This window comes from Homo sapiens, chromosome 1, assembly GCF_000001405.40.
Source record: "Homo sapiens chromosome 1, GRCh38.p14 Primary Assembly".
Taxonomy (NCBI): domain Eukaryota; kingdom Metazoa; phylum Chordata; class Mammalia; order Primates; family Hominidae; genus Homo; species Homo sapiens.
Window position 1 is genome coordinate 70,833,783 of NC_000001.11, and position 12,667 is coordinate 70,846,449.

The 12,667-nt window shown below is 37.2% G+C and overlaps 1 long non-coding RNA gene across 2 annotated transcripts in view; it reads left to right on the forward strand.

The window, feature by feature from the left end:
- LOC102724572 (uncharacterized) overlaps positions 1–12,667 on the forward strand; it is a 42,841-nt gene that overhangs the window by 21,309 nt on the left and 8,865 nt on the right. For both annotated transcript variants that reach the window (XR_426711.4, XR_001737665.2), the window contains 2 exons: positions 5,017–5,092; positions 5,181–5,288. This is a non-coding gene — a long non-coding RNA (uncharacterized LOC102724572). The remainder of the gene's footprint in view (positions 1–5,016; positions 5,093–5,180; positions 5,289–12,667) is intronic.

Sequence of the window (12,667 nt, forward strand, 5' to 3'; positions counted from 1 at the left end):
ACAGAGTCCCTACTGGGGCACTGCCTAATGGAGCTGTGAGAAGAGGACCACCATCCTCCAGACCCTAGAATGGTAGGTCCACTGACGGCTTGCACCATGCACCTAGAAAAGCCACAGACACTCAATGTCAGCCCATGAAAGCAGCCAGGAGTGGAGGTATACCCAGCAAAGCCACAGGGCAGAGCTGCCCAAGACCATGGGAACCCACCTCTTGCATCAGTGTGATCTGGATGTAAGGCATGGAGTCAAAGGAAATCATTTAGGAGCTTTAAGATTTGACTGCCCTGCTGGATTTTGGACTTGCATGGTACCTGTAGCCCCCTTTTTTTGGCCAATATCTCCCATTTGCAATAGCTGTATTTATCCAATGCCTGTACCCGCATTGTATCTAGGAAGTAACTAACTTGCTTTTGATTTTACAGGCTCATAGATGGAAGGGACTTGCCTTGTCTCAGATGAGACTTTGGACTGTGGACTTTTGAGTTAATTCTGAAATGAGTTAAGACTTTGGGGGACTGTTGGGAAGGCATGATTGGTTTTGAGAGGACATGAGATTTGAGAGGGGCCAGGGCCAAATGATATGGTTTGGCTCTGTGTCCCCACCCAAATCTCATCTTTAATTCCCATATGTTGTAGGAGGTACCTGGTGGGAGGTAATTGAATCATGGGGGCAGGTCTTTCTCATGCTGTTCTTGTGATAGTGAATAAGTCTCATGAGATCTGATGGTTATTAAAAGGGGGAGTTTTCCTGCACACCTCTCTTTGCTTGCTGCCATCCATGTAAGATGTGACTTGCTCCTCCTTGCCTTATGCCATGATTGTGAACCTTCCCCAGCCACGTATAACTGAAAGCCCAATTAAACCTCTTTCTTTTGTAAATTGCCCAGTCTTGAGTATGTCTTTATCAGCAGTGTGAAAACGGACTAATACAGGTAAAGTGGAAAATATCTATTTAACACAAAAGAAGGGCAGAACAGAAGATTAGAAGAACAAGAAAGGTATAAGATATATAGAAAAAAAGTAAAATGGCAGATATAAATCCTACCTTATCAGTAATTATATTAAATGTAAAGGAATTAAACACTCTAGTCAAAAGCAGAAGTTGGCAAAATGAATTAATAAAACATGGTCTTACTACATATTGTCTAGAAAAGACACATAATCAGACTCAACAAAAGCATAGAGCAATATCACTTTTGAAAGAGATGGAAATATATTAAAATATCAGCAAAACAAATTCTACAATATACAAAAATGTAATACCTTATCACTAGTAAAGATAGTTATATATTAGGGAAGTCACCAGTTCAAAACAATAGCAATTATTGGACAAAAACTCATACAATTATATCAGTATATAAAGAATAAATTACAAAATTCAACAGTAGTTCATGATTTTTAAAACACAACTGGCAAAAGAAGAAAACTTGATTACAAAGTTAAAAGATTTCTACCAAAAAAACCTGCATCATATCTTTATTTATTCAGATTATAAATATTTATTTTATATCCACATTTATCAGATACTTGTCTTAAGCATTGTGATATAGCAATAAAAAGAATCAAGACCTTGTTGTCATGGAGCTTGCAGTCTACTGGTTAAACATTTTTTAATATTTGTTACTATTTAGAAAAATTCTCATTGAAGTCAAAAACAAGGATGCCTACTCCTGCTCTTCGACCAATTAGAAAACATACGAGAAAAAATATCCTACTAAAAAGTGTCCAAAATTATGAATTTCATTGGAATTGATCAATATAACAATTGCATGAATTTTGTGGGGGCAATTAAAAAATATTATTAAAGGTCATATAAAAATATGAATAAATGGAGATTTATGCCATGTATATGGAAGACTCAATATCATAAAAAAGGCAATTATTTTTCATGGAACATGAGAAGAGAATTCTAAAATTAATATGGACGACTGAATGAGTAAGAAAAGTCAAGACTCATTTGAGTGAGGGCTGGGCTGCTAGATACCAAGATTTATTACAATGTTATAAAAGTTAAAATAGTTATATATTAGTATAGGAATAGAGATATGTAATGGAGTAGAGAATCCCATAATACGTACATAAATATATAAAGATTTGACAGAAATGATGTTATAAAACAGTAAAAAAAAATGGTGCTGGTGAAAAAAAAATAACTAGCTTGTCTCAGTTGAACAAAATAAGAAAGTAAGAAAATGGTGTTGGAATTAATGGATTTCCATTAAAACAGTGAAATTGGCCCTAATTTCACCCAAAACACAAAAATTAACATCAGAGAAATAAAAAACTTAACTACAAAAAAATTATTAGTAGAAAATGTGGGAGAATATATGCTACTATATGGTTGGAAAGGTATTTTTAAATAAGGCACAAAAGCACAGGCCATGTAAGAAAGATTGATAAATATGTCAAAATTAAAATGTAAAAATCTGTATTTCAAAAGATAAGATAAAGGTAAAAAAACAGTTACAGGTCTGGGAGTAGATATTTGCAATATATATATAACAAATAATTATTACCCAGAATGTGTAATAAACTGCAAATCAATTTTTTAAAAGAGACACTTATGTTTACCAAACAATATTACTTTTTTCCCCTTCACCCAGGGTTTCTCTAAACACCTGAATTAGAAGAAATCATTCTTAGACTCTTAAATTCAGGTTTTTAAACATGTTTCTTAAACATCAGTCATTGACTGTTTATCCTACTGCTTGGAATATGGAAACTGTGTATCTTTTTATTATGTGCAAATGCAAGAAAAATGCTTATTTTAATTAAGGTAGATCTAGATCCTTCCTGTCAGAAGATTTATCGGGTACATAAATATATCTTACATATGTTGTAGTTAACTTAATTGTCTGCATCTTGGTACTGTTATCCTCCTGCCACTGGGTTTAATTACATTGCATTATGACTTGTAATTAAACAGAACAAAAAATCATTACATGATTAGTTGGTTTTATAAGGCCTTGAAACCTTTTGCTAAGAGCTCTTGTTTGTATTACAGCTATTTCCACTATGATCAATGTTCATAAAATTATTTCTAATCTGTGAATTGTCAGGTATACAGTTGCAAATTGCTTGAAATTTGAGCTCAAAATCCACTAATGTGCTTTGATCTGGTTGGGCAAAAACCTTCTATTCATGCAAATGAACACCATTTTGTATCAATCTTATTTTAAAATTTGTTCTGTTCCAAATGGGAGTACTGAAAGTCTTAAAGTAACAACTGATAAACTCATTTTGACTAAATAGTCTTTATTATACAATTAACATAAAAAGAAGTTGCCATTTAGAGGCAGCTGAGTTGTGTCTTTCAATGACTCTTGATACTGCCAGGGCATGCATCTTGTACACCTTTCTATGATGCCATGAGCAGTGGCATGAGGGTGAAAATAGATTGAAAGGTGCTTAAGCTATACCTGTGACCATAATCCAACATTTATATAATTGTGAAGTACTGTACATATCTTTCGGTAAAACCACCACGCAGTTGTATGCCTAGACTTCTTGCACTGACATTTTCTTCCTCCCTCCAAATTTTTTTTTTTTTTTTTTTTGAGACAGAGTCTTGCTCTGTCGCCCAGGCTGGGGTGTAGTGGCCTGATCTCGGCTCACGGCAAGCTCCCGCCTCCCGGGTTCGTGCCATTCTCCTGCCTCAGCCTCCCGAGTAGCTGGGTCTACAGGCGCCCACCACCGCGCCCGGCTAATTTTTTGTATTTTTGGTAGAGACGGGGTTTCACCGTGTTAGCCAGGATGATCTCGATCTCCTGACCTCGTGATCCGCCCTCCTCGGCCTCCCAAAGTGCTGGGATTACAGGCGTGAGCCACCGCGCCCGGCCCCTCCCTCCAACTTGACGGTCACACTTTCAAGCTATCCTACAATCAAACGCTGCTTTTTTCAGAGAATGTAGAACCAATATATTGAGATACACTACTTAATCCCAGGAACTATTTTACATATGCTGTGTCATTTAAATCTCACAACAACCTTGTAGGTAGGCTATTACAGTCTTACAGACAAACAAACTGACTCAGAATCTGATAAATTTTTTGGCTTAATAGAAGCTGGCTAGAAAGTGACACATCTGCTATTTAAATCTAGTTGTTTCTAATTCCAAAGCTAGTAACCATTTTTTTCCCTTCTGTGTTGACTTTTACGAGGTTGTTTGCTGTTGAAATTAAGTGACAAACTCATATCTATTACATGAACACTGAGGTTAATTGCAGGGTGGCTTCATCCAGCCAGGGTAACTCCATATGTCTATAGAACCCCCTTCAAGGAATGGTGAGGAAGAAACTTTTAAGATCCCCCCTTCATCTAGGAGTTGAGAAGGGTAGATAAGATTCTTGGATACTAGGTATTTAAGAACTTTCTCAGATGAAAGGAAGCTGAGAACAAAGTAAGAAAGAATACCTTTTAGGATTCACAAAATTATGAGAAGTCAGCCGCATACGGTAGGTCAGCTTTTTAATGTATTTGCTCCTTTTCTTATTCATTGACCTGTGAAAGGAAAATATCTTGGACCTCCAAAATCACTAAGGAAAACTCGAGCTGGATATTGCTTAGGGCAAACCTGCCTCCCATTCTATTCAAAGTCACAGAGCATTACAAGAAGCGTATTATTATTATGCTTAAATTAGAATATTAAAAGAGGAGCCCCAAAATATCTCTTTAGGTTCATCCCACCTAATTCACTTTGCCTTTAGGCAGGCTTTGCCATGAATTTTCTACTCACAAGATAAATTTCTAATGATTGTGCTCCCCATCCTGTAAAACAAAATATTTTTCTTTTAAACTTTTGTTTTGAAATAATTTTAGATTTACAGAAGAGTTGCAAAAGTAGTACAGAGTTTTTACATACCCTTCATCCAGTGTCCCCAAATGTTAACATTTTATATAAGCATGGTATATTTATCAAAACTAAGAAATTAACATCAGTACATTCCTATCAACTAAGCTTCGGACTTTGTTAAAATTTTGTCTGTTTTTCTACTCGTGTTCTTTTTCTGTTTCAGTATCCAATTGAGAACACCACATACACCTAGTCATCATGTCTCTTCAGTCAGAGGACACAGCATTTAATGTTGAATGGTAATAATGGCAAAGATGTGGAAGACTCATACAAGGTTGTTGCGGGTGGAAGAGAAAGCATATTAATCAACTTCTTAAAATTTCATAGCTAAAAAAGAATTTCTGAGTCTTTCCAAGAGGAAACAATGTTGGAAGAACCCCAGGAGTCTGTCTTCCCAATTGCCCTGTTTTCTACTTCTCCTAAGGATGAGATGAGGTGAGTATCATTGTGGTGCAAGACAGCAGACTCTTGCTCCCTCTCCAACATGTCCTAAAGCAGTGCCTGCTTTCCTCTGCTTACTCCTCTGTGCAGTAAACTCACTAGAGAAGAGCATTTTTAGCTCTGCAAAGGGAAGCCCACAGTCCTCCAGCGGCTCTCCCTGTAAGTAGAAGGATGAGTCAGTTCATATTAGGTAGTACAGAGGTTTAGGGTGAAAAGCTAATATTTTGAGACTCACAATTCCACATATTTTTCGTATTTATTTTCATACTAGTTAAAATGTAAAAAGATCAAGGGGTATAATTAGCACCTGCAGAACCTTTAGCAGAGATTGCCATCTAGGCTATGGTTTGCTTGCGTTTTGGTATAATGTTATAAAAGGTAACCTAAATTGTTGAAAACTGTTTTCTTTTAAAGACATAATTAAGAAACGTTTCTGTAAAATAAAGCACTAATATATTATCAGAATTCTTTATGCAACAATTTAGTAACCATATTATATATACATGTGCATGTATGCACATGTATATACATGCATATTCTGACTAATAAACTTTTATATGTATTTATGTGTCTATGTACATACACATAGATAAACTTATGTGTGTATATATGTACTATGTATGCATATACACATGCATATACATATATGTACATATATACACATACACATAGATGCTTATATACAAATATACACACATATGCAAATATATACATATATATTTTTTATCCCATGAGTCATATATATTGTGTAGGGTAAGTTGTACTATGATAACCAACTGAAAATCTCAGCAGCTTAACACAATATAACCTTATTTTCTACTCAAATTGTGTAACTATTTTTGGTTGACATGGGACTCAACTCTAGAGTCACTCAGAAACCCAGGCCAACAGGGGCTTTACTATGTGGTAGCTGCAACATTTAGAACATGAAACTGTCTCGATCACCAAAAGAAAGCCTGGATAATTGAACACACGATATCCACAATCACAGCCACACATATTAAAAGTAATGGAAAAAAACCACAATTACTTTTGCACCAACCTAATAATTTTCATTTACAATTTATTGGCTAGATCTAGTCACAATACTTTATTCAGTTTCATGGAAGACAATAATCACATCCTCTAGGTATACAGAAGAGGAGAATAAAATATTGGTAAAAAATATGTATAGCTATTTGGGAAAAAACTACCTATTTGAAATGAAACTATTTTCCTTTGTGCATAAGTCAGGGTAAGTAACACCAGTAGCTATAACAAACAACTTTTAAATTCCAGTGACTTGAAAAATGCTTGCTATGTTAATTATGTTTATTATGTTTGCTCATTTGATGACATAATGCAGTTGGCAGGAGATCCCTGCTCTAAACAGTCAGATTGGGACTTCAAAGCCTAACATTTTATGACATAATAAACACTGGAAAATGACAACAATAAAGAAGTGACAGTATTTTTCCTGTAGATTCAGCAAGTAAGATGATTCAACTACTTTGTCCTTTAACAAATTAAGTGAGCAGCACTCTGAAGGAGATTGCTCAGCCACTAATCCCCTCAGTGCTGAAGTACTGTGATTTTTTTTTTTTTTTTTTTTTTTTGGGTAGAAAATAGCAGACTGATTCATAAACAGTTTTCTGGAAGAATAACGTAGTCATTCTGGCTTATCTAAGTTCTGGCAAGACCTGTTATAAAAAGAATACTTTAGAGGAGTTTTGTAAGAAAAATTTATTTCCTTAGCTTTCCTTCCTTATCTTCTATCTCTCTTGCCTTGTACTTAGTGCTAAACCTTTCAGCTTGTCGAACACATTTGCTGCCGACTGTAGCTGAGGAATTCTCATACCTCTTGTGTCCTTAATATATAATGTCCAATTCCTCAGCATGAACAGCTTGAAGTTTCGGGCTATTTGTCCTCCCTTTTCTTAAATAAACAAAGAAAAGAAAACCTAACTCAGTAGTTTTAAAACTTGTAAATAACTTGTAGATTGAAAAAAACCAAGATCCACGAAACTTCAACCAGAATTTATTTGAAATTATGTGGGACCATTTAAATATTCCACAGAACTAAGAAAAATATGTACAAATTTCTTTCGAAGTTACATTATCCTCAAGGTAAGAGTTGTTTGGAGAGATTCCTGGTCTCGTGTGAGAAATTCTTGGTATCCATTCTGGTCCAGCCATCAGTTATCTTTCTGACCTTGAGTGAGAATTGTCTACTAGATCATTCTCAGCACTTTCAGCTGTAATGGTTTGTAAGGCGTTGACTAAACTGGCTGCAGCAACCTCTATAGTGTCCTTAAGGCTCCTAAGTTTTCACTGTGTAACCAGAACCATGCATCTGAAATAGTTGACTAGCAATCTGGATCTGTATTTTTATTAACTCTACAGTTGGTTGAGTTTAATTGCTGTGCCAATGTTCAATGTTTAAAATCACCTGATGGCAGGCCCTTGGTTTGCCTCATTCTCAGTGCTATGTATTCACCTCTTTGTAGTTAATTGCAAGATAGAAAGTAGAATAACTGAATAGGAACAAAACCTGGGAACTCCATTTTATAGAGTATTTATACAAATAATCTATGTCTAGGCAGAAGAAAAGATATCCGGAAACATTAATCCTCTAGCTGAAGTAAATAGGGCATTATAATTACTATGATAACAAACAAAGGCAATGGCAGAATGGAATAACAACCATCTATCAATTCTGGGAACAAAAAGTGCAACACCTGACCAGTTCAAGCATTTGGTATCACATGACCTGATGTCTGACTATATTAGTTAAACCTAATAAGACAGATACACTTTAATGGCAAAGATGGTTTGTTCTGTTTTTCTGGTATATTCACCAGTATCAACTAATTATGGATTGAGAGCACATTATTCAACTTCTCCAAATCTATTTAAAGCCTCTGTAAAATTACTGGGTTTGCATTAGATGTCCTTAAAAGTTCCTTTTAGCACTAATCATCCAGTCCATTTCTCATTCTTTGATACTTATGTCATCAGAGTCTTGGGAGCCGACAGCTTTTCACGTCTTCCATTCAATACAGTATCTCTACATAGAACCAACAATCTTTGTTCATTCATGTTTTAACAGCATACTACTGGGATTATGATCTTATGTTTTGATTTCTTCTTCCTGACTTCTGCATGCATTTATGTAATTTTTTTAGCTGAATAATTTATAGTGGTAGATTCTGGATCAGCTTTCTTATTCCTTGACTATGGTTCCTAGTTCCAGTTTTATGTAAAAAGATTAGAATGAATCATGAGCAAGTTGGTGCTTTTGTTTGCCACTTGGGAGCTCTGACTGTAAAGTAAGATGTCTGGGTTTGGAGCACTTAAAGACAGTTGCACACATTAAAACATGTTTTTGATGGCATGAATTGTTTACCAGAATGCTTGATTTATTCTCCTCTCTTCACATGGTTTCAGAAAAGTGTTGCATATCTCCTTTACCCTGTGTGATCAAATAAGTGAATGACTGTGTTCTTGATGAGGTGGAATATAAACAGGTCCAGTGCTTTCCTGGGGTATCATTCTTAGGTGCAACTTGTGAAATCTTTAGCTGTCTTAATTCCAGGAGAAAAGACAAAGGCACATTTAAGTGATAAATGCGTTGTTATAAGGCAAGATCACATACTAGCATCACATAAAGCCTTTGTATGATGTCTGGTTGTTCAGGCATATATGACACATTGAGTACAGATGACTGAGCACAGCAATTGTGTGAAATCAGATTAATATGTCCCAAAGTATCCATTATAGAACTATCTCAGGAGAAAGACCATCATTTTAATGACTGGGAGTAGAGGTAAATAAAGGTCAAGTGAGAATGGAGCATATCTGAATTGCAGCTCTCTTGACAGAAATTTACTATGATTACCATAAACTTTCTATCTTGTTTTCATAACATTTACCCCTCCTTATTTTATGTCTTATTGCCACCACTCCTCCCAATAACACAACTATAAAGTAATTTTTCACTTTGGATTTGACTCTATACAAATCCTCTGAGCATTTTCATCTTGAGTGTTGAGAGGGTGTGTTTTCTTAAGGTTGTACTAGATAATGCCATCTTGCTACTATGTAGAGCAGAAACTTTCAAGAACAAAGAATAGCTTTTTAGGAAAGGCCTAATCAGTTGTGTTTCTTCAACTGGGTGATGTACATAGGATCACTCCATGAGATTAGAAGCCAGTCTCCTGCTCAGCAAAGCTCAAAATGACACGGGAGCAATGTAGTACTATCCACTGGTAAGGTACAACTGACCTTTCTATTGCTCTTGTGTTACAAAAATGAGGGACATTATTTTAATTTAAATGTCAACATTCAAACTTGAAATGACATAGTAAGCATAAATATTCACCACGATATACATCAGAGTCCTTGACTCAAGGGCAGTAGATAATATTTTCCACATTATCTTGACCTTCTGGGTATATAATATCAATCAAATATATTTAACAGAAAAAATTCCTAAGCCATTATGTTTGGTTGTCAGGTTCATAAAGAGGAGAATGATAGTAATGAATTTTGCCTGAGTCTGGGTAATTCCCTAGCCTCATAGGAAGCTGTGTTGTGCCTGAATCCATTATTTTTTATTCATTCTACTATACATGTCGTACTTACTACACTCCAGGATCTGGGGATGTGAGGTGAACAAAGCATATTAATTCAGGTCATAGTCAATTCCTAAACACTGTAGATTGATGTATTCTGAAGTGCCTCAGTGCATTCATTCATGAAAAAATATTTATTCTGCCCTATCTACAAGGAAACAGGTGCATGATATACATCAGTGAAGTGAATAAAGATTTTAAACCCTTATGGAGTATACAGTTGATACGGTTTGGCTCTGTGTCACCACCTAAATCTCATCTTGAATTGTACTCCCATAATTCCCATGTGTTGTGGGAAGGACCCAGTGGTAGATAATTTGAGTCATGGGGGTTGTTTCCCCCACACTGTTCTCATGTTAGTGAATAAATCTCGCGAGATCTGATGGTTTTATCAGAGGTTTCTGCTTTTGTATCCTCCTAATTTTTTTCTTGCTGCTGCCATGTAAGAAGTGCCTTTCACATCCTGCTATGATTCTGAGGCCTCCCCAGACATGTGGAACTACAAGTCCAATTGAACCTCTTTTTCTTCCTAGTCTTGCATATGTCTTCATCAGCAGCATGAAAACAGACTAATACAGTAAATTGGTACCAGTAGAATGGGGCATTGCTGAAAAGATACCCAAAAATGTGGAAGCAACTTTGGAACTGGGTATCAGGCAGAGGTTGAAACAATTTGGAGGGCTCAGAAGAAGACAGGAAAAAGTGGGAAAGTTTGGAACTTCCTAGAGACTTGTTGAATGACTTTGACAAAAATGCTGATAGTGATATGAATGATAAGGTCTAGGCTGAGGTGATCTCAGATGGAGATGAGGAACTTGTTGGGAACTGGAGCAAAGATGACTCTTGTTATGTTTTAGCAAAGAGACTGGCAGCATTTTGCCCCTGCCTTAGAGATCAGTGGAACTTTGAACTAGAGAGAGATGATTTAAGGTATCTGTTGGAAGAAATTTCTAAGCAGCAAAGAATTTAGGAAGTGACCTGGGTGCTGTTAAAAGCTTTCCACTTTAAAAGGAAACAGAGCATAAAACTTCAGAAAATTTGCAGTCTGATGATACAGTAGAAAAGAAAAACCCATTTCTTTGAGGAGAAATTAAACCTGTCTGCAGAAATTTACATAAGTAACAAGGAGCTGAATGTTAATCCCTATGACAATGTGGAAAATATCTCCAGGGCATGTCATAGGTCTTCACAGCAGCCCCTCCCATCACAGATCCAGAAGCCTGGGAGGTAAAAATGGTTTTGTGAGCCAAGCCCAGGGTCCCTGTGCTGTGTGCAGCCTAGGGACTTGGTGCCCTGCATCCAAGACACTCTAGCCATTGCTAAAAGGGGCCAGGGTATAGCTTGGCCCATGGTTTCAGAGGGTGCGAGCCCCCAAACCTTGGCAGCTTCCATCTGATGTTGAGCCTGCAGGTGCACAGAAGTCAAGAACTGAGGTTTGGGAACGTCCACCTAGATTTCAGAAGATATATGGAAATGCCTGGATGCCCAGGCAAAAGTTTGCTGCAGGGGTGGGGCCCTCATGGAGAACTTCTGCTAGGGCAGGGCAGAAGGGAAATGTGGTGTCAGAGCCCCCACACAGAGTCCCTACTGGGGCACTGCCTAGTGAGGCTGTGAGAAGAGGGCCACTGTCCTCCAGACCCCAGAATGGTAGATCCAATGACAGCTTGCACTGTGTGCCTGGAAAAACCACAGACACTCAACTCCAGCTGCCCGTGAAAAAAGCCAGAAGAGGGTCTATACCCTGCAAAGCCACTGAGGCAGAGCTGGCCAAGACTATAAGAATCTACTTCTTGCATCAGCATGACCTAGATGTGAGACATGGAGTCAAAGGAGATCATTTTGGAGCTTTAGAATTTGACTGCCCCACTGGATTTTGGACTTGCATGGGCCCTGTAACACCTTTGTTTTGGCCAATTTCTCCCATTTAGAATGACTGTATTTACCCAATACCTGTACCTCTATTGTATCTAGGAAGTAACTAGCTTGTTTTTGATTTTACAGGCTTGTAGGCGGAAGGGACTTGCCTTGTCTCAGATGAGACTTTGGACTGTGGACTTTTGGGTTAATGCTGAAATGAGTTAAGAGTTTGGCGGACTGTTGGGAAGGCATGATTGGTTTTGAAACTTGAGGACATAAGATTTGGAGGGGCCAGGGAGAGAATGATATTGTTTCGCTCTCTGTCCCCACCCAAATCTCATCTTGAATTTTACTTGCATAATTCCCATGTTTTGTGGTAGGTACCCGGTGAGAGATCATTTGAATTTTGGGGGTGTTTTCCCTCATACTGTTCTCATGGCAGTGAGTAGGTCTCACAGGATCTGACGGTTTTATCAGGGGTTTCTGCTTTTGCATCCTTCTCATCTTTTTCTCGCCACCTACATGTAATAAGTGCCTTTCACCTCCTGCCATGATTCTGAGGCCTCCCCAGCCATGTGGAACTGTATATCCAATTGAACCTCTTTTTCTTCCCAGCCTTGGGTATGTCTTTATCAGCAGCATGAAAATGGACTAATACAACAGTCTACTGGGGAAAAACAAAGAATAAACAGTAAATATAATTTTAAAATTTTACTAAGTGCTAGAAGGCAATAAATGTATTTAAAAAAAAAAAAACAAAGGAGCATGGTAAGGGGACTCAGGAGTATGGCACTGAGGGAGCAGTGAAGAGGGCCATGTACAGTTTACAGTATTAAGTGGGGTTGTCAGGGTAAACCTTGATGAGAAGAATACATTTAAGTGAAGAGTTGAAGGAAGTGAGTC